General features: G+C 47.6%; 1 long non-coding RNA gene across 1 annotated transcript, besides 3 other annotated features; it reads left to right on the top strand.

Moving 5' to 3' along the window:
• Positions 55–569: an enhancer, noted in NCBI's record as "H3K4me1 hESC enhancer chr2:27938889-27939403 (GRCh37/hg19 assembly coordinates)". NCBI's record gives its function as "activates a minimal SCP1, AML or CMV promoter by ChIP-STARR-seq in primed H9 embryonic stem cells {active_cell/tissue: H9 hESC(primed)}" and the evidence as "EXISTENCE:reporter gene assay evidence [ECO:0000049][PMID:30033119]".
• Positions 156–23,320, top strand: LOC105374378 (uncharacterized). Its single transcript, NR_160725.1, has 3 exons — positions 156–765; positions 880–1,051; positions 22,306–23,320. It is a non-coding gene; the product is annotated as an uncharacterized LOC105374378 (long non-coding RNA).
• Positions 570–1,083: an enhancer, noted in NCBI's record as "H3K4me1 hESC enhancer chr2:27939404-27939917 (GRCh37/hg19 assembly coordinates)". NCBI's record gives its function as "activates a minimal SCP1, AML or CMV promoter by ChIP-STARR-seq in primed H9 embryonic stem cells {active_cell/tissue: H9 hESC(primed)}" and the evidence as "EXISTENCE:reporter gene assay evidence [ECO:0000049][PMID:30033119]".
• Positions 19,699–19,868: a silencer, noted in NCBI's record as "silent region_11305". NCBI's record gives its function as "represses an Ori minimal core promoter by ATAC-STARR-seq in GM12878 lymphoblastoid cells {active_cell/tissue: GM12878}" and the evidence as "EXISTENCE:reporter gene assay evidence [ECO:0000049][PMID:35858748]".
• Positions 23,321–23,977: the final 657 nt, after the last annotated feature.

The following is a 23,977-nucleotide window of genomic DNA, read 5'->3' on the forward strand; positions in this document are numbered from 1 at the left end:
CTCCCTCCCCCTGCCCACGCCCCACATACCTGGGCTCCTGCCCCTTCCACCCCTCTCTGCTCCCTCCCTGCCCCCTTCCCTTCCTCCCCTCCCCTTTATCTCACCTTCACCCCCTTTCCTCCTACACCCCTTCCGTGTCCCCACCCCCTGCCCTCAGTCCTCCTTCCTCCTCTTCCCCACATCCCACCTCTCCTTTCCCCCTCCTTGTAGGCCCTCTTTCTCCTCAGCCCCCCTCCCCCCGCCTTTAGTCTCCTACCTCCCCTACAGCCTCCTGCCCCCGCCTCCTCACAGCCCCCTACTTACCCTACTGCCTCCCTCCTGGGGCCCTTTCCTCCCCAAGGGCCCCTCTGTTTTCTCCCATTCCAGCCCCTGACCAGGCCCTGCTCCTCTGCTGGGGTCGGCCCCGCACAGTAAGCTGCCTGGGAGCCCTCATTGCCTTCCTGGGCAACCCGGCCAAAGGCCCCCCGAGCAGCTGCAGCCCTGGAGGTCAGCCTCACCCTGGCAGACCGCAGGGGCCCCTCCTCACCGCCGACCTCTGCACCTTCACCCGTTTGCCTGGTGTCTGAGGAAGGGCCCGCAGGAAGAGCATTCCTTTCCCAGGGTCTTCCTCAGGAGGGATGAGAGGAAGCAAAAGCTTGGTCTGCAAACGGGCTGGTCCTCCCGACGGCCACATCCGCAGGAATGACCCTCAGAGGGGCTCCCCAACTGGCTGGGAGATTCGTCCAGCTGGGCGCTCTGCTACACAGCCCCGTCAAGGGCAAACAGGCATGTACTTAAATGATAAGGGGCGGCCCTTACAGAGCGTGTATATGTGCATATTAGCTCCTTCAAGCCTCACAGCTCCGTAAGCTAGGCACTGTTATTATCCCCATATTATAGATGACAAAACTGAGACACAAAAGATGAATCAGCTTGGCAGTGTTCACAGAGCCAGCGTGTGGAAAAGCCAGAATCCAGACCCAGACCCGAACTGCAGCGTCCCGGCTCTTACCCCTAACCAGCCAGTGCCTCTCAGCTTAGTGCTCTTCCACCCGGCTTTTCTTTCTAAAAAGTGAGTTTCGTCTTTGTTGTTTGTTTGTTTTTGTTTTTTTCTGAAAGTAAGCATGAAGCATTACAGGTGCTTGGAGATTTTCAGTTTTTAAAAATCTGATATTTTTACTTCTCTGGGTGTTTCCCCTGCCAGCTGTTGCTCTCCTGAAAACCGTCTCGCTCATTTTTGCCGGTTCCCAGTGCTGTGCGTCCTCATCGCATTGGTTCGTGCTCCAGGGCCCTGCCCACGCACATATGTGCTGCACTCCTTCCCTCCTGCCTCCTGCCTCTGTGTTGCCCTGGGGCTAACAGCTTATGACTTGCCAAACAGAATCATAAGGAGAGGTGTGTGGCTGATGTGGCATCACGCAGGCTTGGAAAGGCCACTTGTTATTGGGATAAGCAGTAGGAAATAGTGGCTGAGATTGTGAGTAGGGGAGTAGAGGCCTCCACAGACTAAAAGAAATGTCAGAATAAAATAATAATATAGCTAATATTCATGAATACTTACTAAATGCAAGGCTTTGTGCTAAGTATTTTCCAGGAATTATTTCACTTAAGTGACATAATAACCCTATGACATTGATATCATCAGCATTTGACAGAAAACTCAGGGTCATGTAAGGTTTAGAGCTGAGATTCTGATGCACTTAACCAGCATGTTCACTGCAAACGAAAATTGGTGTGCTGGTTTCTGTGTTTGTCTCCAAAATGGAAATATCTTTGTCATTTGGCAAACTATAAAAGTAATAGGTGTTCATTGTGAAAGATGAAAACAACACAGAAGTATATATAGTAAAATATAGAAGTCTTTCTCTGATAAGCCCCCTCTTCATAGACTTTAATACATATGTACATTTTAAGATACCTGATATCATACCATCATATTCTTCAGTGGATATCCTGACATGGCAGGGCACACCTGATGATTATTTCCAGAATTCTAGCGATGGAATTGGTGGGTCAGAAGGTATAAACATTTTGGTCACATGTTGAAATGGAGAAGTTATTGTTCTATTTAAAGCCATCATATACTGTTGCCCAGGTTGGACCGCAGTGGCGTGATCTTGACTCACTGCAACCTCCCCGTCCTGGGTTCAAGCAATTCTCCTGCCTCAGCCTCCCGAGTAGCTGGGATTACAGGCACATGTCACCTAATTTTTGTATTTTTAATAGAGACAGGGTTTCACCATGTTGGCCAGGATGGTCTCAAACTCCTGATCTCAAGCGATCTGCCCACCTTGGCCTCCCAAAGTGCTGGGATTACAGGCGTGAGCCACTGTACTCAGCTTAATTAGTACAGTCTTAAGGCAATTTGTTAACATGTACCAAGAGACTTTAAAATGTTCCCACCTTTTACTTCATAGCAATTCCATTTATGGAAGTCTCTCTACCCCAGGGAAATAAATAAATGAAAACAGCAATATTTAGCATTATGATAGCCATATTTGGGGCATCGCTTAAATGTCCTCCAATAAGGAAATGGTTAAGTAAGTCATGAAAAAAATTAAGAACATTTCCTTGCTGGAATATTATATAGTGATTAAAATGATGGTTACAAAGTGCAAAAATGTGGTGGAAGTTCTTAGAACATAAAGTCAAATTTAAAAAGTAATATACAAAATTATATATATTGTATGATTACAGCTGTGTGAACAGAATTTGTAAAGGAATAGTAGCAAAATGATATCAATGGTTATGTTAGTATATTGAGATTAATGTGGTTTTTCTTTTTTTTTTTTTTTTTTCTGAGACAGAGTCTTGCTCTGTCACCCAGACTGGAGTGCATTGGTGCAATATCAGCTCACTGCAACCTCCACCTCCTGGGTTTAAGAGATTCAGCTGCCTCAGCCTCCTGAGTAGCTTGGACTACAGGTGCATGCCACCACGCCCAGCTAATTTTTGTATTTTTAGTAGAGATGGGGTTTCACCATGTTGGCCAGTCTGGTCTTGAACTCCTGACCTCAGGTGATCCGCCTGCCTTGGCCTCCCAAAGTGCTGGGATTACAGGCATGAGCCATAGCACCCGGCTGTTTTTCTTTTTTATTCTCCAATGTGGTTTGTTTATTTGTTTACTTGTTTGTTTATTTATTTATTTATTTATTTTTATTTTTGGGACAGAGTCTCACTCTGTCGCCCAGGCTGGAGTGCAGTGGTGCGATCTCGGCTCACTGCAACCTCCGCCTTCCAGGTTCAAGTGATTCTCCTGCCTCAGCCTCCCGAGTAGCTGGGATTACAGGCACCCGCAACCACACCCAGCTAATTTTTTGTATCTTTAGTAGAGACAGGAGTTCACCATCTTGGCCAGGCTGGTCTCGAACTCCTGACCTCATGATCTGCCCACTCGGCCTCCCAAAGTGCTGGGATTACAGGTGTGAGCCACCATACCCGGCCTCTAATGTGGTTTATTTTTGTAGTAAAAATTATATTTACTTAAGGACTAGAAAACAGATGGAAATTATCAGAAGACTCTGCTTCATTTTTCCTCTCTGGATTTGAGTTTCTACTCCTAAGAAACGAAGCACTGAGCCTGGAATTAGATAACTTCGAAGTTATCCCAGTTTTGATATTGCAAATTTTCGTATATAATCCGGTGGCTCTGCTGCTGATTCAAAGCCAAAATTCAGTCTTCACATTGAAAACAGATCAGACCGGAACCTGTTCTGTGACCATTAGCTTAGGCTATTCCTACATATGTCAAAGTAGCCACATTAATTGGAAGAAAAAGGAAACAATGTTGTCTGAATCTGTGTAGATGCACCTTTAGGCTTGATGTTTCCAGTGGGAAGTAGAGGGTACCAGGCTTGGGAGTCCTGGGACCAGATGTTTACAGCAGTGATTTCTTGACCCATCCCACTATGAGGGGTTGTGTCCCTCATTCCCTCCTCTATCAGCCCGGATACTGATGGTGTGTGAGGCTCTCCCATGGCCATGCCTTGCTCCCTCTGCAGTGACAAGGCATGGTTGGAGACTGTGTTTCCTTTGCTGGCTGGAGAGCTCTTTGAAGGCAAGGACTGGGTTTTTATTCCAGTACCTGAACAGTGAATGAATGAATGAATGAATGAGTGAGTGTGAGCATAAAGAAAGCCTGTTACATGGGAGACTCAGTAGGATTTCACTGAACCTGTGAAGTAAGTAAGGCTAGCAATCAGAAGCATGTTGTGAGGTCACTGGTCTGTAGGTGTGTGTGTGTGTGTGTGTGTGTATGTGTGTGTTTGTGTGTGCAGGGAAGGGGCAAGGCTGGAAGAACGCCGCTGTGCTGGCACAGCCTTCGTCAGAGCCCTGAAAGGGGCTGAGTGGGCTCTGACTCAGCTCTATGACTCATTCACTGTATTGCTGTCTCCATCCTCTGGGCACATCCTCTGGACCATTTCTGCTCAGCCTCAAGTGGAGGAGGTGAGATTTGGGCCGGTACCTCCGGATGACTCACCTGGCTAAGCTGGAAGGAAGGGGCCGAAGCCCCACCATCCTGCACCCCCTTGTCACTACCCCTGTCTCCCTAGGGGTTCTCGTGCAGACACAGACTTCACAAGTAGGTTATGGCTGCTCCAGTAATGAATGACGCTCTCCATCCCAACCCAAAGCATTACCCCCCAATCACGCTTCCCGGCTCAAATGCCACAGTTTCCCCAGTCCCCTCACATGGTTGTCCCCTGTGCTTCTTGTGGGCCTCTGAGGTCAGCTGATAAGGAAGTTTACAAGGCTCTCCCAGACCATTGGTCATTTTATTCTTCTTCATCTCTTACAAACCTTTTTCAGTTTACAAAATAGTTTTACATCCCCTTTCTCATTTGATTCTCTCCCAGACCCTAGGAAGCCTGGTAGGAAGGCGAATATCCCCATTCTTCAGGGATGGACGTTGGAGCTCCACTAATCCTTTCACTAGTAAAGGAAAGGAAGTGAAGGGCATTGAGGGGACACGGAATGTTGGGAAGGGCAGGCTGGGCAGGGACAGTGGAACAGTGGGCTGGGGGCATTTAGTGGGACAGTGGGCTGGAGAATAGGGACAGCACTGGCCAGTTGGTGACATGACAAGAAATATGTCTGTATGAGAGCAGAAGACAGATAAGGTCTTTTGACTTTATCCCAAGACCAAGAGGAAGCCATGGAAGGGTCTTATGCAGTGGAACGCCATGGTCAGACTGGATTTTAGAAACCCACCCCTGGGTGTGATGTGGGCAGGGAACTGGGGCAGGGCAAGCTGGGGGCTGCCTCTGTTATTCAGAGAAGAGCTGGCAGAGTCCGCCTGTGGGCAGTGGTAGAGGGGGTGGGACAGGGACAGAAAGACTCCTGGGAGGGTGTCCAGTAGGCACATGAAAATAGGGGTCTGAGGCTGTTTCCCCTGAAGAAGTGGTGTATATTTATTCTACTGTAAAGGAGGACGGAGTGCTAAGTGGGTTGCCATCCACTTATAGATGTGACTGGAGCCAGGCAGTGGGTGAGATGACTCAGGGAAAAGGGAGGGTCACCAGGGATGCCAACCCTTAAGAGCCGAGCAAAGGCCAGTGCAGGCCCTGCCACAACACCCCGCGGGAAGGGCATTTGTAATGTGAAAGCACTTCGCCACCATGACCTCCTTTGATGCGGACAAGGCCCTGTGAAGGTGACAGGTGACTCACCTCACAGACACTCAAGGGTGAAATCTAAGGGGACTGCTGGCTTTTCCCTCTGCCGCGTTCCCTTTCCTCTTTCCACCCATGCTGGGCTGCTGGGGTCACCACCTGGCACCACCTGGAGCAGGAAGCGTCCTCTTGCGAGAGTGCCCAGAACCTCCAGTGGGGTGTGGCTGTGGGCTGTGGGAAGGGGCTGGGTCCCCCGAGCCCTTTTGGCCCTGGAGGGTCTGGAGGGTTTCCAGATAAAATATGAGATGTCCAGTTAAACTTGAATTTCAGATAAATTACAAATAATGTTTGGTATAAGTATATCTCAAATATTCCATGGGACATATTTATATTTTAAAAGTACTTGATGCTTATCTGAAATTCACATCTAAGTGGCATGTCTGTCTTGTATTTTTATTTGCTAAATTTGGCAACCCACAAGGGGTGCCTCACTACTCCTGCACACCAGGGCCTTGGGGATTTTCCTTTGTCTGAGACCACAGTGAGAAACAGCCTCTTACCCCACACTTGCCCTGGGTCCTTGTGTGGGGCTCAGGGTTGTGTGGGGAGACAAGCTCTGTCCCTGATGGCCTTCCAGCTTCTGTCTCAGCCCAGCAGACGTCTAACCTGAGTTTCTATGGCCTTCCACATGCCAATGGCTCCCCACCTGGACAGGTGAATAGCTGCTGCCTCTGATCATGTGACCCAAGAATGGAGGGGACCAGGGCTCCCCTTCTCTAGCCAGCAGCATCTGCCAGGGTGTCATGTCCAGGCCCTTTAGATAGCCCAGGAGCCTGCAGCCCTCAGTCAGCAAGAGCTTACCCAGGGCAGCCTGGGCTAAGGGGTATGGAGGAAAAGGCACCTGCTCTGCCTTGGGTCTAGGCAACGAAGGTGTGGATATTTGTTGTTTGTTCAGTGGCCTACTGTTAGGAAACAGTAGCCCCACAGCTTTGCAGAGCCTGACAAAGGCAAGAAACTGTCACATGTCTGCCCTCATTTGTAGTTTTTTCTTGTTGTTGCTGTTGTTTTGAGAAGGAGTCTCACTCTGTCACCCAGGCTGGAGTGCAGTGGCATGATCTCAGCTCACTGCAACCTCCACTTCCTGGGTTCAAATGATTCTCCTGCCTCAGCCTCCCAAATAGCTGGGATTACAGGTGTGCACCACCATGCCCGGCTAATTTTTGTATTTTTAGTAGAGATAGGGCTTCACCATGTTGGCCAGGCTGGTCTTGAACTCCTGGTCTCAAGTGATCTACCCACCTCAGCCTCTCAAAGTGCTGGGATTACAGGTCTGAGCCACCGTGCCCAGCTAATTTTTGTTTTATTATTATTATTATTATTATTTTGGAGATGGAGTCTCACTCTGTTGCCCAGACTGGAGTGCAGTGGCATGATCTTAGCCCCCTTCAACCTCTGCATCCCAGGTTCAAGTGATTCTCCTGCCTCAGCCTCCCAAGTAGCTGGGATTACAGGTGTCCGCCACCACGCCTGGCTAATTTTTGTATTTTGGTAGAGGCAGGGTTTCACCCTGTTGACCAGGCTGGTCTTGAACTCCTGACCTCAAGTGATCTGCCCGCCTCTGCCTCCCAAAGTGCTGAGATTACAGTTGTGAGCCACCACGTCCGGCCATCTGCCCTTATTTAATCCTCACCATATTGTTGTCAGGTGAACAGGGATGGCGTTTTCAGCTGTTTCCTACCCCCTTTATGATGAGTGAACTGAGGCTGAGAGAGGTGAAGCTTTGCTCGTAGTCACATATCCTAACCCATGTGAACGTTGGGGCTTCAACCCTAGCTCAGAGAAAAGTGATCAAGGATGCTGAACTCCAAGGAGCCCGGGAGTTGTGCTCCAGATGAAGTTCCTCCACTTTCACAGTAGGGGGCGAGCCTGAAGCTTTGCTTGAAGAACTGGGATGAAAAGTCCACAGTCCTGCCCTGGCCACAGGCAAAAGACAAGGCTGGCAGCTCCCACTGTGGCGCTGGGAGAGCTTCCTCTCTCTACTCCGGCCCACACATGGAGTGGGCTGTGGAGTCCTGATGAGAACCTGCTGGGGCAGCAGGTCAGGGCGCTGCACATACTCTGGGTGGGGAGGAAACCTGCAATAACCGAGAAGGCGGCTCCAGAAGCTCAGGGACCTCTCAGTTCCCCGGAGGGAACCAAGGCTTTAGTGCTGGGCACAGAGTGGGTCAGCCACACCAGAGTCTCTGTGAATGTTAAGCCAGACTTTGGAGAAGGGAGACACAGAGGTGGGTGTGGCAGAGACTGCAGATGTAAAGAGTTCTATGTGTTTATTCCACAAATATTTTCTGAGCATCCACTGTGTGCCAGACACTGTTGTAGACATCAGGGATACAGCAGTGAATAAAGCAAATATGTGCATACAGGTGTCTCATAGACAACTCGCTTGTGAGTCAGCTCATTTGTGAGTTGATTCTTTTGACCCCAGGCAATGTAATGCAAAATTCAGCCCCCTTAGCAGCTTCCAGAAAACGGTTTTTCCCCACCAAACATGGCAGGGCAGAGGGTTTTACTGAAGATTTACTGGGTCATAATGAGAGGCTGCAGTTGCTTCTCTTGTGCCACCCCCTCTGTGAATGTCAGGGTACATGACCCTTCTCCCAGCTCTCCTGACATGCAGCCAAGCTGGGGGCTCACCGCCCTCCCTCCACCTCCTGCACCCAGGCTCCCTGCCTGGCTAGCCTTTCTCCAGCAGTTTTCTCACAGACATTTAGTCTTGGGAGGGGAGGCTTTTGTCCCATTCCTGTGTCACTGTTTGGCCCTGAAGGACACAGCCTCTTTCCCCAGGGCCCCTCCTTTCTGAAATGGGGATGTTGTCCCTATGCCATTCCTACTTCTCAGAATTATTCCAGGGTGAGATGAGCTCATATCTGAGAAGGGTTACACTCAGAACTCTCTAGCACCTCGGGTCATGGCAACTGGAGACAGCATCTTGCTCTGAACCAGGCCCCAGCGTCCTACAGATGGGTGACCTGGTGTCATTATGGGAGTAAATATTGAGCTGCTCTCCTTTTATTTTGGATTGGGTATAATTTAGTACCCTGTTCTCACTCTTTTATTAATAAAATAAAACAATAAACACATACTACCATCAAAAGAACACTCACAGCCTGTGTTTATGTGTTTATGTTGTGTCTGTGTCTAAGAAGCTGCAACTGCTATGTCAATTTTTAACAAAATGAGTTTTCACTCAGTGCTGGGGGGTATGATAATTCAAAACAAAAAGGGAGGGCAGATTCTTCCACTGTGTCTTTTAGTTTTTGCTTTTTTACTCTTTTCCTTTTTCTTTCTTTTTTTTTTTTCTGTTAAAACAGAGACATTGGCCTAAGGCCTAGGCACAGAAACTAAGAGTGCCTGTGTTCACTCGGGAAAGATTCCACAGGGGAATCAGGCCCATGCCCCTCCCGTCTCCTGTTCCCAGGGGCTTTGTTTCCTGCTCTCCTCTGCCCTTTCTGAAAAGGACCCCACAGGTGATCTGAACCCCCTGAATATGGTGCCTGGGGAGAGGAATGTGGGCATGAGGAAAGTAAGGAATGAGGAGGAGAGGAGAAATAGAACAATAAGAGAGAATAATCAGCATAAACTTTGTGATCTCAGGGCCAGGGATGAGAGAAACAATGGTCATTTATACATTTTAATCATGAGTTCAGTCTTGTGGCTGAAAGTAACAGAAACAAAATTCTAATTAGCTTGAGCCCCAAAGATGAAGGTGTTGGCTTACATAAACTACTGTGGAGACAGGGATAAAACAAATGGCTTCAAGGAGTGGACATCCTTGGGACGTCCCCTCCCCTCAGGATGTTGATTTATCCACCTGCTCTCAAGGCTGTGAGGCTCTGTGTGCCCATCCTCACAGCCCCATGGCCAGAGAGGAAAGCACTCTTTCACACCAGCTCCGGCTAGAGGACAGCAAACAGCAGCATACCAGTGTGCAGTCGTCACAGTTCAAAAATGTTACACTTTGTTCTTTTCCAGTACTGATGAAGGAATGGAAAATGGAGACCCTAATGCTGTGATACACTATTGGAGGGAACATAAATTGTCCCAGTCCCTTTGGAGGGAAATTTGGCAGTATCTATTATAATTTGAAATGTGGTTACCATGGATCTCATGATGCCATGTCTCAAAATCCAGACCAGTAACTCTCATGTATGTGCACAAGGAAACACAGGCCAGGGTGTTATGTGAAGAATTATTTGTAATGCAAAATTAGGAATAACATAAGTGTCCATCTTTAAACCATGATATATTTTATACTCTGAAAACCTGGAAACTATTAAAAAGAATGAAGTATGTACTGACATAAACCCCTAAGACATCTTGGTAAATGAAAAATGTAATTTGCAGTATATAGATACAATATGGTATCACTCAAGCATAAACCAAAACCAAAACAAAACCTTGAAATAATAATATATATTTATATATGTTTATAACATATTTCTAAATATATGAAAATGCATAGAAAAGGTCTAGATTCACTAAATTACCTTGGTTATCTCTGGTGAAGCTAAGATTAGGTGTTGAGATTGAAGGAGACTGTCAGGTTTAAACTTTTTCAGTGATAACGTATTCAGGTATAATTTATGTATTTAAAATTAATTTTAAAACTTTTAAAGGAAAAAGCTATGGAAGGAAAGGCATTCTGATTTGTTCAACCCAGACCATATGACTCTTCCTAGACCAATCACTGTGGCCAAGGGGCTCCTAGGGTTCAGTGACTGGCCCAACCTGGGTTTCACACTCATTCCTGTGAACACTGGAGCAATACACAATAATTGGCACAATAATTGGCAGCTCCTTCCATAATTACAGCTGAATTGGTGAAGGAGGATTTCCCCCAAAGAAGGGAGGTGCTGTTCTGGGCAGACAAAACAATAAGTCTTCTCGATAGTGGGCTTTATCATCTTCATGGGTTTAAGTATGTGTCATCCAAGGCTGAAATACTTCGTTCAATACAGTTCTGTTACAATATATAGGATAAAAATTTGTTCTGCGCCAGGTGCGATGGCTCATGCTTGCAATCCCAGCAATTTGGGAGGCTGAGGTGGGTGGATCATTTAAGGCCAGGAGTTTGAGACCAGCCTAGCCAACATGGCGAACCCCATCTCTACTAAAAAATACAAAAAAATTAGCTGTGTGTGGTGGCGCATGGCTATAATCCCAGCTACTTGGGTGGCTGAGGCACGAAAATCACTTGAACCTGGGAAGTAGAGGTTGCAGTGAGCTGAGATTGCACCACTGTACTCCAGCCTAGGTGACAGAGTGAGACTCTACCTCAAAGAAAAAAAAAAAAAGAATTTGTTCTGCTCATTGCTATATCCCTAGAACCCAGGAAAGTTCTGGGTATATAGTAGATGCTCAGTGTAATAGACACTAGTCAAATGGCAACAGCACTACTATAGCCTATGATTTTTTTGTTTTTGTTTTTGTTTTTGTTTTTTGAGATGGAGTCTCGCTCTGTTGCCCAGGCTGGAGTGCGATGGCACAATCTCAGCTCACTGCCACCTCAGCTTCCTGGGTTCAAGTGATTCTCCTGCCTCAGCCTCCCGAGTAGCTGGGATTACAGGCATGCCCCACCATGCCTGGCTAATTTTTGTATTTTTAGTAGAGACAAGGTTTCGCCATGTTGGCCAGGCTGGTCTGGAACTCCTGACCTCAGGTGATCTGCCTGCCTCTGCCTCCCAAAGTGCTAGGACTACAGGCGTGAGCCACCGCACCCGGCTGCCTATGGAAATGCCTTATTCTGGAAACTATGACTATGAAGAGAACTATGACTCCTCCCTCAATGCTCTCAGCAGAGGCAGAGGGGAGAAAGGAAGAGGAAGTCAGACTGACAGCTCCGTTTTCCTCCCAAGGCCAATGTTCAAGTCAGATCAGGGAGTGACCATGACGCACGCCTGGGACAGCTTGACAATGATCTGGCCATGGCATGGGGTTGGGCAGGAGGAGTTGGCCCAGTTACTTTTGATTAAGTGGGGCTTCCTTCTGTGTGTTACAGCCTCATAGGTCGCTGTGGGGATGGGGCCACGACGGAAGAGAAGGTGGTAAAAAGGGCGAGTTGCCTAAGGTGAGTGACCCTTGGGTGGGTCTCCTAACTCATCTGAATCCTTTCCTCTCTGCAAAGTGAGGATATTATTATTATTATTATCATTATTATTATTTTGAGACAGAGTCTTGCTCTGTTGCACAGGCTGGAGTGCAGTGGCATGATCTCAGCTCACTGCAGCCTCTGCTTCCTGGGTTCAAGCAATTCTCCTGCCTCAGCCTCCTGAGTAGCTGGGAGGCGTATGCCACCATGCCTGGCTAATTTTTGTATTTTTAATAGAGATGTGGTTTTGCCATGTTGTCCAGGCTGGTCTCGAACTCCTGAACTCAGGTGATCTGCCTACGGCCTCCCAAAGTGGAGGATATTATTTTTAAAAAAATCTATTCCCCAGTGACCATGTCTCTCTACTATCCATTATGTCGTTGTTGTGGAAGCATCAGTTGAAACCCAGAGAGAGCTAATTTTTCTAAGGGAGCCCACCGTAGAGAAGGAAGAGCAGAATCCCAAGGCCTGAGCATTGGGGGTTCCCACAGCAGGGAAGGAAGGGCTTGTAAAGGGCACAGTAAAGGAAGAAGGGGTGACCCGAGGGGAAGAACAACAGGGAACTTGAGGCCAGGAAGGCCAAGGATGCAGAGGGTTCCAGGAAGTGGGCACTGGCAGTGTTAACACAAGTGCTATTGGATGGAGGCCTCTGGGGCTCTGGAAAGAGAATGGTTCCAGAAAACAGATGAGGCTGGAAGCCAGACTGAAAAGTGCAAAGGGGGAAACAGCTTCCAGTTCTCCCTTGAGAAATGAGAGGAGGCATTTCCCCCATGCTTGACTTCCCCGACTGTATCTAGCCTGCTGAGGTGAGGCCTGGGGAGACTAACTGGGAATCCCTACAGTCTCTCATCCTCCTCCCCTGTACTGGCCTCTGCCTGGGGGAAAGCTGGTCTGCCCCAGTTCTCCAGGCAGAGTGAGCTCAGTCATCAACCCCAGGCCTGGCCCCAGCCCTTGCTACCCCTCTCCAAGGGAATGGATTCTGCTGGGTCGTGTACCCACCCCATCCCCCTACTCCTTCCAATGGGCTGAGGTCCTACCTCAAAGGGCCTGACCAGCTGAAACCATTTTTCCCAAGCTTGGCCTTTCCAGGGAACTACATGAGCTTCCTTTAGCCAGGCCTGTACCTGCCCAGGGGCCTCTGGGTCTTGGACCATGCAATTATCCTCCCTGGGTGTCTCGCCTGCCATACAGATGCCCTCAGCCTCTGTGCCTCCTCTGCTATTGAGTTCTCAGAATCCCTTTCATCTGAGCACATTTCCTTTGTAACAGAAGGGGAGAAACAGAATGGTCTTAAGACAGCGCAAACATCAAAACATTATGCTTGTGTATATGAATTTCTACATGTTTTATATTTTGGGGTTGAGACTACTATAGATACACAATTGTGCATGTGTGTGTGTGAGTGTGTGTGTGTGTATCCTAATCATCAAATCACAAGCGTTTTCCCAGATCATAAAAAAACTGGTGAAGGCATTTTAAGGACAAGAGAGACCAGTGTAGAAACCAGTGCATATGTGTAGGCCAAGAAGAAGGTATGAGTGGACAGGAAAAGCTCAAAGGTACTAGAGGGTGACAGAGTTCAGCCAAAAGTCCAAGTGGGGGCAGCGCCTGAATGAAGGGTGTAGGGGCCCATTAGGGCTGGAGGTATCCTTGGCAGGCAGACAGGCTGACCCCTGCTTTTACTTTCACTTCCATACCAGTTCCAGTGACCCCTGGAGACCAGGCTACATTCTTCAAGTTCGATGGATTTTCTGGTTGGAGAAGCTTGAGAATTTTAATTGCTGCAACCAAACCAATTTAGTTGCTGAACCTGGGGCTGGGTTTGGCTTAGCCGAGTCTTCTATAAAGAACAAAGGGGAATGAGAGGTGTGCACGCCTGGTAGTGACTAGAAACCCAAACCAGACAGCCCCTGGACTGAGCAGATTCAGGTTACATTCTTAGACACCTCTCCTGTTCTCTCCAAACCCTGACCCCTTACTAGCCCTCTCGCTGTCCCACTTCACTCCCACAGCTGAGACCCTGCGCCAATATCCATCTCCGCCCTTTGCTGTGCTCATGACCCAGCATTTGATGAGTGTCATTCATTCATTCAACAAACATTGAGCCTCTACATCATTCATTCAACAAACATTGAGGCTCTACAGTGTGCCAGAACTATGCCTCGCTGGTGTTAAAGGCATATCCTTGGCCTTGAGAAACTTCCATCAGCCCAGCACCCAGCTCAAGGGAGCCCAGAGACCACCTAAACTTTTGTCTGGATAATAGATCCCTCTGTGAACTGATGACAGTTTTGCACACCTCTGCAGAAAAATATACACATGCACAATTGTATATTTGCATACACTTGAGGGGTGGCAGCAATCCCCTGAAGCCCATCGATGATTTAAGGATCTGTGTACCCCAAGTTACAAACACTTGATTTCATTTAACCCTCTCATATTACAGATAAGGAAACTCAGGTCTACAGAGGGAAATGACTTGTCGAAGGTCATGCTGTGGGTGAGGAGCTGAGCTAGTCCTAGAAGCCAGGACCCCTGGCTCCCCAGATGCTGCTCCACCAGGCCTCCCTGTGAGGGGCTGAGCTAGCCCTAGAAGCCAGGACCCCTGGCTCCCCAGACGCTGCTCCACCAGGCCTCCCTGCACCCTTGTCATCTGGGAAAACCTGGCGAGGGAGCTTGTGTGCCCAGGGCCAGTTTCCTTGTCAGCTGCCAAGCCTAGGACTGCCAAGCCTAGTCCCTTCTCTACCACTCCCTGGTTTCTCCGGGACAGGGGACAGTGGTCAGGAGCTTTCTGAACACTTGCTGTGACCTTGACCATTCCAACCAGTTCCCCCCAGACATCAAGGGAAATGTTCTAGAGGAAACAGGATGTGTTTTCCTGCAAAATCATTTGTCTCATAAGGTGATTTGCATACTGGTGGGGACACAAATGTCATTCCCTGCCCATTTCCTCCCTAGAGAAAAGGGTTTCCATCACAGCTTTCTCCTCAAGAGAGAAGGCAGCTGTATGGGCCCGGTCCCAGCCCTGAGGATGCCTTCCTGACAGTGGGGAGGAGGGACGGGATGTTAGTTAGGGTCTCCCCAGAAGTGGTTGGTAAGCAGGCTCCTTTCTTGACCCCTCCCCAAGTCTCAGGGTTTGGCTGGAAGCTCCCCAGCTCCAGCTCTGACAAACAACCCGCTCCTGCAAACCAGGGATCTAGGCAGCCCACCTTGCTCTTAAACTTCCTTGGGGTTAAATTACAGAAGATTCAGCTGCTAGAAGAGATAGTTGAGGTGATGGTAGATGACAAATAACAACAAATACTTAGTGCTTACTGTGTGCCAGACATTGCTGTAAGCATGTTACATGCACTGTAAATTAATTTAATCCTTACAGCAACCCAGAGAGATTGGTTCTATTATTTTTCCCACCGTTTGCAGGAGGAATCAGGGTTCAGAGAGGTTAAGTAACTTGCCCAAGGTCACACAGCTGAACAGCTGATAGTTGCACAGACAGGGTTTGAACTCAGCCGATCTGGCTCCAAAGTCTGGGAATCTAAATACTGTGTTATGAGAGGAAGCACTGGAAGGTTCGTGATCTGTTGTAACCCTTGAAGACTGCACAGTACTCAGAAATATTGGCATGCCATTTAAGGCCCCTTAGGATCTGGTCCTAGCTACGCTGCTATTCCATCCTGCCTCCTGCTATGATCCACTTACTGAAACAGGCCATAAACATGCCCCAGCTGGTCTGCACAGTGTTTCCTCTGCCCAGGTAGGACTTGCCCATTTCTCTGTCTGAAACATCTCTTTACCCACTGACAACCTCTGAAAAGCCATTTCAACATCTCAAGGCTGAGTTGAGCAAGCCCTTCTTTTTATCAAAGTGGTTTCTATCAAATTGTCTCCTGTAATTATTGTCTAATAAGTCTCTCCTACTTCTAGGTTTCACTCACTCCCAAGAGCTAGGTGACTGTCCTATTCATGTCAGAACCCTTAGCACTAAGCTGAGCACCTGATGTGGTAAATAGTAAATGTCTGTCATGTACAGTGCACAAAGCAAGTTATAAAATAATATATACAATATGCTAAAAATTATATTACATATACTGTAAATATATCACAGCCCAGAAGGATATATGCCAAAGTGTTAACAGCAATTTTCACAGAATTTGGGGGTACAGTGATTTTTATTTCCTTGTTTGTATATCTGCATTTTCCAAAATTTCCATAATGAACATATATTACTTTTGTAGGGCCAGGCACGGTGGCTTATGCCTATAATCCCAGCACTTTGGGAAGCCACGGCAGGCAGATCATGAGGTCAGGAGATCGAGACCATCCTGGTCAACCTGGTGAAACCCCATCTCTACTAAAAATATACAAATTAGCTGGGCGTCGTGGTGTGTGCCTGTAGTCTCAGCTACTCGGGAGGCTGAGGCAGGAGAATCACCTGAACCCGGGAGGCAGAGGTTGCAGTGAGCTGAGATCACACCATTGCACTCCAGCCTGGCAACAGAGCGAGACTCTGTCTCAAAAAAAAAAGTATTACTTTTGTAATAAGAAAGGAAATGACAAATTATTTTAAAATTGTGTTTGTGTGTGTGTGTTGTTTTTGTTGTTGTTGTTTTTGTTTGTTTGTTTTTTAACAGGGTCTCACTCTGTCACCCAGGCTGGAGTGCAGTCATATGATCATAACTCACTCACTGTAGCCTCAAACCCCTGGGCTCAAGAGATACTCCTGTGTAGCTGAGGCTAAAGGCACACACCACCATGCCTGGCTAATTTTTCAATTTTTTTGTAGAGATGGGGGAGTGTCTCACTTTGTTGCCCAGGCCAGTCTTGAACTCCTGGCCTCCAGTGATCCTCCTGCTTCAGTCTCCCAAAGCACTGGGATTACAGGCATGAGCCACTGCTCCCAGCCTTAAAATTGCTTCAAATGAACAATAATAGCTAACATTTATTGAGTACTTACCACATGAAAAAATTTAACAGCTTCATATGTACCATCTCTAATCCTCTGTAAGTTCTCTGTCGTAGGTACTATTGGTGTCATTACCATTTTACAGACTAGGAAACTGAGGCCTAGGGCGGTCAGGTAACTCACTCAAGGTAATGCAATTTAGAAAACAGTGGAGTTAAGCTTGGAGTCCAGATTGTCATGCTTCTGAACCTGTACTGCAACCTTTCCATGACCAGCCTCTAGATGGAAGGTGGGTAGATAGGTAAATTTCTCTCTTTTTAAAAAATCAACTTTTAGGCCAGGTACGGAGGCTCACGCCTGTAATCCCAGCACTTTGGGAGGCCGAGATGGGCGGATCACCTGAGGTCAGGAGTTCGAGACCAGCCTGGCCAACATGGTGAAACCCCGTCTCTACTAAAAATATAAAAATTAGCCGGGCATGGTGGTGGGCACCTGTAATCCCAGCTACTCGGGAGGCTGAGGCAGGAGAATCGCTTGAACCAGGGAGGCGGAGGTTGCTGTGAGCCGAGATCATGCCATTACACTCCAGCCTGGGGAACAAGAGTGAGACTTCATCTCAAAAAAAAAAAAAAAAAAAAAAAAAAAAATAGCCAGGTGTCATGGTGCATGCCTGTAATCTCAGATATTCAGGAGGCTGAGGCAAGAGAATCACTTGAACCCAGGAGGCAGAGGTGGCAGTGAGCTGAGATCTCACCGCTGCACTCCAGCCTGGGTAATAGAGTAAGATTCCATCTCAAAAAATAAATAAAATAATAAACTTTTAAAATTTTGAAGTAATTTCAGTCTCAGTATATTAGTCCATTCTCATGCTTCTAATGAAGACATACCTGAGAGTAGGAAATTTATAAAGGAAAGAGGTTTAATTGACTCACAGTTCAGCATGGCTGGGGAGGCCTCAGGAAACTTATAATCATGGCAGAAGGGGAAGCAAACACGTCCTTCTTCACATGGCGGCAGCAAGGAGAAGTGCCAACCAAAAGGGGGAAAAGCCCCTTATAAAACCATCAGATCTCGTGAGAACTCACTCACTATCATGAGAACAGCATGAGGGTAACTGCCCCCATGATTAAATTGCCTCCCACTGGGTCTCTCCCATGATATGTGGGGATTATGGGAACTACAATTCAAGATGAGATTTGGTTGGGGACAAACCATATCACTCAGGACAGATACAAGAATAGTACAATTAATTTCTGAATATCCTTTCCCCAGTTTCAATAGTCATTAATGTTTTGCCACATTTGCTTTATCAATCACTTTCTCTTTTTGTCTGTCTACATAAATACATATTATTATTATTATTATTATAACAGCTTTGTTGAGATACAAGTCATATACCATATATGCAACCATTACCACACAGCAAATTTTAGAATATTTTCATCACCTAAAAAAGAAACTCTGGGCCAGGCGTGGTGGCTTATACCTGTAATCATCCCAGCACCTTGGGGGGCCAAGGTGGGGGGGAATTGCTTGAGCCCAGGAGTTCGAGACCAGCCTGGGCAACAAGGCAAGACCCTATCTTTATAAAAAATAAATTAGCCAGGTGTGGTGGCATGTGCCTTTGGTCCCATCTCCTGGGGAGGCTGAGGCAGGAGGATCCCAGGAGGTTGAGGCTGCAGTGAGCCATGATTGCACCACTGCACTCCAGCCTGGGTGACAGAGTGAGACCCTATCTCAAAAAAAGAAAAACAAACCAAAAAACAAAACCCTGTACCTCTTTTAGCTATCACCTCCCTAAACCCAATTCACCTCAGCCCTAAGCAACCACTAACCTACTCTCTGTCTTTATAGACTATAATATGTAGTCTCTATATAGACAGAATAGACTACAATGTCTATTCTGGACATTGCATATAAACACAGTCATATAATCTGTAGTCTTTAGTGACTCACTTTTTTCACTTAGCATAATGTTTTCAAGATTCGTCCATTTGTAGCATGTATCAGCCCTTCATTCATTTTTATGGCTTTATTACAGTCTAATATATGGATGTATCTCATTGTGGCTATCCATTCATCACTTGATGGACATGGGGTTGTTTCTGTATTTTGACTATTATGATTAATGCTGCTATGAACATTCCCGTACAAGTTTTTGTGTGGACATATGTTTCATTTCTCTGGGACATACACCTAGGAGCGGAATTTCTGGGCCATACAATAGCCATATGCTTAATTGTTTGGGGAATAATAATGTACTTATATTTTATTTCTGAACCATTTTGAGGTGAAGTTGCAGACATGTCCCTTTATCCCTAAATACTTCAGAGAAGCCAAACCAAGGACATTCTTTTTCATAACCACGTTTCAATGATCCAATTCAGGAAATTTAACATTGATACAATATTACTGTTATATAATCCACATGCAAATTTTGCCAATTATGTCCTTAACAGCAATTTCCCCCCCATCCAAGATGCAAGCTGGGATCACGCACTGCATCTAGTTGTTCTGTCTCTTTCCTTTCCTTCGGTCTGGTGCAGTTCCTCAGCCCTTCTTCATCTTTGTGTAGTTTTGTGAAATGTCTCTCAGTTTAGGTTTATCTGATGTTTGGATGGATGAGTTTCAAGGCTTGTCCATGTAGTGGGCACTGAGGTCCAGTCGTGTAGCTGCCCAGGCAGAGGAGGAGACTTGGCTCGGCAGGAGCCCTGACCCCTTCCAACCCCACCGCGATTGCACCGCGCTCTGCAGCGAAGGGACGGGCCGCAGACCCAGACCCAGGGCTGAGCCCGGCAGTGGAAAGTGCCCCACCTGGACACCTGGAGGGTTTACTGGGAAGTGCCAAGAGAAAGAAAGGGGTTGTGCGGGAGCTTCGTTCACGCCCTTTCCCAGGAACAGCTCAGGGGCCTGGAGGGCGCGGGAGTGTGTCCCCAGGCCGGGCCGTGGGCAAGCACTTCCCATCGCGGCACCGAGGGCTCCCGGACCTCGCCAACCCGAGCCGCCCGGGAAAGGCTGCAGCGCGTCGCCGGGATATCCGGGAAGGGCGGGCGCGGGGGAGACCAGCAGGCCGGTGCTGGGAAGGCGCTGCCCCTTCTGGGAAGGGCCTTGATGCAAGGGCACACCCCCATGCCCGCGCCCTGCACCCCCGCTTCCGGCAGCCCCGGCGGGGCTCTCGGGAAGGCGCGGGGCGGGGGCGGCTGATTCTAATCCGAGGCCCAAGATGGAGATTGGGCGCCGGGAGGCGGCTGGCTTCACTGGGTCCTGGCCCTGAGCCGGTTTGCTGGGCTGGGCCTACCAAAGGCCCCACCAACTTTTGCAAGAAGACTTTTCTGGGTGCTCCCTCAACATTATTGATTGAGAAGAGCCCCAGATAATCTGCCATCCTACCGCACAGCTGCCAACTTCCACCTGAGGCAGCGGTGGTTGGGCTGTTCGTTGTTCATTCGTTCATTCATTTTGTGGCTGCAGGTATCTGCCTGCTCCCCACCTTTCCCCCTCCCTGTTGGGGAAGAGGCTCAGTAGGGCTTCCAGGTAACAGTCCTGTACCTAACCTGCTTCTGCTGAGAACACCTGTCCTCATAGTGCCACCCGACCTGCCCTCCCTCAGCCCCAGGGCCTTGAATTCTGGCCACCCCAGGACTGAGCTGGCCTCTGCCCACTTTACAATGAGGGCGACAGACACCAGGGGGAAAGGCAGGGCCTTAGGGAGCTAGCCAGGAAGAGGTAGAATGGGGAGAGGAGGAAGGCACCAGGCAGGGACCAGGCCAAGAGCGCTGCAGGAATGTCATAGTCATCCGAGTTTGCACCCTGACAGTCTGCAGATATGCGTTGTTCTGTCCTCACAGGCTTTTGAAAATTGGAAAAGTTCACATAAAAATCCAGATATCTGATTTTTCTTGACAAATAAAAGGATCTGCCAACACCAAGCTTGCATTCCTGTGGCAGCCAGGACTGAATCAGGAACCTTCCCTGGACCTGGCAGTGGCCACACACCCCTTCTTATTGTTTAAACTTTCTGCACTAGCTCCATTACTTGCCTCTTCCCCAAGGGCACCTGTGAGCTCACTCAATCCTCACCATACCCTGTGAGGTCAGGAACCCGATTCCATTTTGTACAGAAAGAAAGCAAGGTGAGAGGTCAACCACCTCGCCCAAGGTCACAGCCAGAGAGAGGTAGGGCTGGGATTCTCCCCCAGGTTATCTGCTCCCTGGATGATGCTCTCTTCACTCTGCTGTACTGTTTCCTTGTGGGAGATCCGGTGTCTTCAGCAGCAGCTGGGTGGACGGCAGATGTAGACAGCAAATGGAAAGCCCTTGGCCATCGTAGTCTGGGGCTTTCTAGGCCACCACAGAGTCCTGAGCTGGGCTACACAGCTCTTGGCTGAGGCTCTGGAGTGGTGCCACCGAAGTGTGGAGCAAGAAGGTTCGGTCCATGGTCCCACAGTAAACTCAGGCAGGCGAAAGGACATGGGCACCTCTGTGTGGGGGTGTTGGCCTCTAGTCAATTAAGGGGTGCTCTTTCTTCGTTGCTTCTCTCTCTTTGCTGGAAGTGGGCTCCCTCTGCCAGTGTTTTGCTCCATATGGCTTTCTTGCGCCCACATGGGGGCAATTGATGGAGAATAGTGTCAAGATTTTCTTAGTGCATAAATCACAGTACATTACAGTCAGGCTTCCCTGAGCACAGCTCTTTCTGCTCAGTTGTGCGTTCTCCTCCTGGAAAGGTTTGCTAACCCTTTTCCTGATTGGGCTTGTCCAATACTTCTAGCAATTTCTAGAAATGAATCAAAGGGCAGTACCTTACGGTCACAGAGGGTCGGAGGAAGCTAAGGTAACTGCCTTCTAAGAGTAGTTCAGCTGTATATGGTACTCTACAGTTTATAAAACCTTTTCACACTCTTGTGTATTCCTTTGGTTCACACAACTTTAGAGCTGTACAGAGGAGCAATTTGCAAACTTACCTTGAGCAAATTCCTTTCCTCTTTTTCTGTTTTGATTTCCTCATTGAAGAAAAAACAAGATAATACTCTCTTTTTAAGGTATTTTCAGGCAAAGCTACTCTGCTTTCTAACTCCTGGGAGTGCTATTCACATTGAATGCCATGTGATGGGTCCTCTTGGGATTGTGCAATGGGCAGAACTCCTCATATGCATGTTGTGAGGATGAAATGACATCATTTATGTACTAGCACAAGTCCTGGGAGATAGTAGGTGATTAATAAATGCTTATCAAGTGAGTGAACTACTCACTTGGTCATGATGAATTCTGAAGGACGCTTATAGGAAGAAGGAAGTTGTACCGGCCCCCTGTGGCTGGTGTTGCCTTTCCTGCCCATTTTTTTTTTGTATCTCTTGCCAAGTTGCCCTTTGTCCTAGGCCTCTGGGCTCCCAGCCGGCTGGAGGCACAGAGTTATCTGTGGGGCCTGGAGTGCTGGGCCTGGGCTGTGTAATGACCAGCCTTCCGCTTGCTTCAAGTTTCCGCTGGGGGGCTGGAAGCCACAGCATCCAGATGGCTAATTGCTTTGTGCCTGTTTCTGCAAATCACAGTGATTCACTGTCCCTGCTGAAAACACGCTCTCTTTTCAAAGATTTAATGGTTTCCAAAATTAATTTAGCCTCATCTGTTATCCCCCTGCCCTTCTGCACTGTCCTCTCTCTCCCCAGCACCCTCTTTTTTTTCCCTCCCTTCTCCCCATCCCATGATGGAGCATTCTGCGCCAAAAGCCAGCTTTCACTCTGCAGGGCAACGTGGAGAGGGATGAAAAGCCTAGACCCCTTAGCACGGTCACCTGAACACAAGCTGAGTGTGGCGTATCAAGTGGAAGCCCAGGAGGGAAGAGCCAGTGGCACAGTTATCTCCCACCACCCGACATGCTCCGGCCGCCAGCTCTGGTCTGACCGACGCTTCGGATGAAGAACTCCAAGCAGCCCCCTATTCGTACTGTTTTCCTCAGTGAACTCCCAGGGATCACCTGCTTTTTATGTGTGACGAATGTGGTCAGTTTTGTTTGCTTTTGACAGCTCATTATGGGTCCATGAGGTCAGAGTCCTGGCTGAAAGGCCAGAAGTTTAGGGAGCCTATCTCCAGCTGATACTCGCTTGCTTCTTGACCATCTTTGGGCTTCTGTTCTTTCCCAGTAGCATAAAGCTTGTATGATTCTGACCTCTGGCACCTATGCATTATTTAATCAACATTTATTGGGGCTGTCTCCATGCCAGGCATGTGGTAGGCCCTAGTGGGGCAGGGGTAAAAAACCGCTGCAATCCTGGCCTTTCAGGAACTCAGTCTAGAGGGAGAAAGAAAACACCTGAGGCCAGAGGGCTCTCTCTGATCTGCTTCTTCTATTTCAAGTCTGTGCTTTTAACTATATTGAATTTCCCAGTTATTATATCTTCTTAATGAATTGTTGATTTTATCAGTATGGAATGTCCATCCCACTTTGACCCTTGTAATGCCTTTTACCTTAAATTCTATTTTATTCTGCCCATCACTAGGGGACTAGTTGAATCAGTTATGGTATATCCTCACAATGGAGTACTATGCAGTTGTGAAAAATAATGAGGGCCATCTTTACGTGCTGTTATGGAGTGATTTCCAGGATATATAGTTAAGATGGAAAAGTAGGAAGGAAAAAATATGTATTGTATGCTACTGTTTAAGAAAGACAAGTATTCATCTGTGTGTGCGTGTGTTTGCTTATATATTAAAATGCAGAAAAATATGACCAGGTGCGGTGGTTCACGCCTGTAATCCCAGCACTTTGGGAGGCTGAGGCAGGTGGATCACTAGGTCAGGAGATCGAGACCATCCTGGCCAACACGATGAAACCCCGTCTCTACTAAAAAATACGAAAAATTAGCTGGGCATGGTGGTGGGCGCTTGTAGTCCCAGCTACTCAGGAGACTGATGCAGGAGAATGGCGTGAACCCAGGAGGTGGAGCTTGCAGTGAGCCGAGATCACGCCACTGCACTCCAGCCTGGGCGACAGAGCAAGACTCCATTTCAAAAAAAAAAAAAAAAAGGCAGAAAAATAAATCATTACATCAAAAGTAAATAAATTAATAAAATGGGGTAGAAAGAGAGAGATGTTTGTCAAAGGGTGCAAACTTTCAGTTATAAGATGAAAAAGTTCTGGAGATCTAATGTACAGCATGGTGACTACAGTTAATATCACTGTGTTATATATTTAAAATTTGCTAAGAGAGTAGATCTTAAATGCTTTTGTCACAACACAAAAATGACAATGATATGAAGTAACATGTTAATTTGATTGTGGTAATCATTTCATAATGTATACATTTATCAAATCATCACATTGTATACCTTAAACACATA

Source organism: Homo sapiens, chromosome 2 (assembly GCF_000001405.40).
Source record: "Homo sapiens chromosome 2, GRCh38.p14 Primary Assembly".
NCBI lineage: Eukaryota > Metazoa > Chordata > Mammalia > Primates > Hominidae > Homo > Homo sapiens.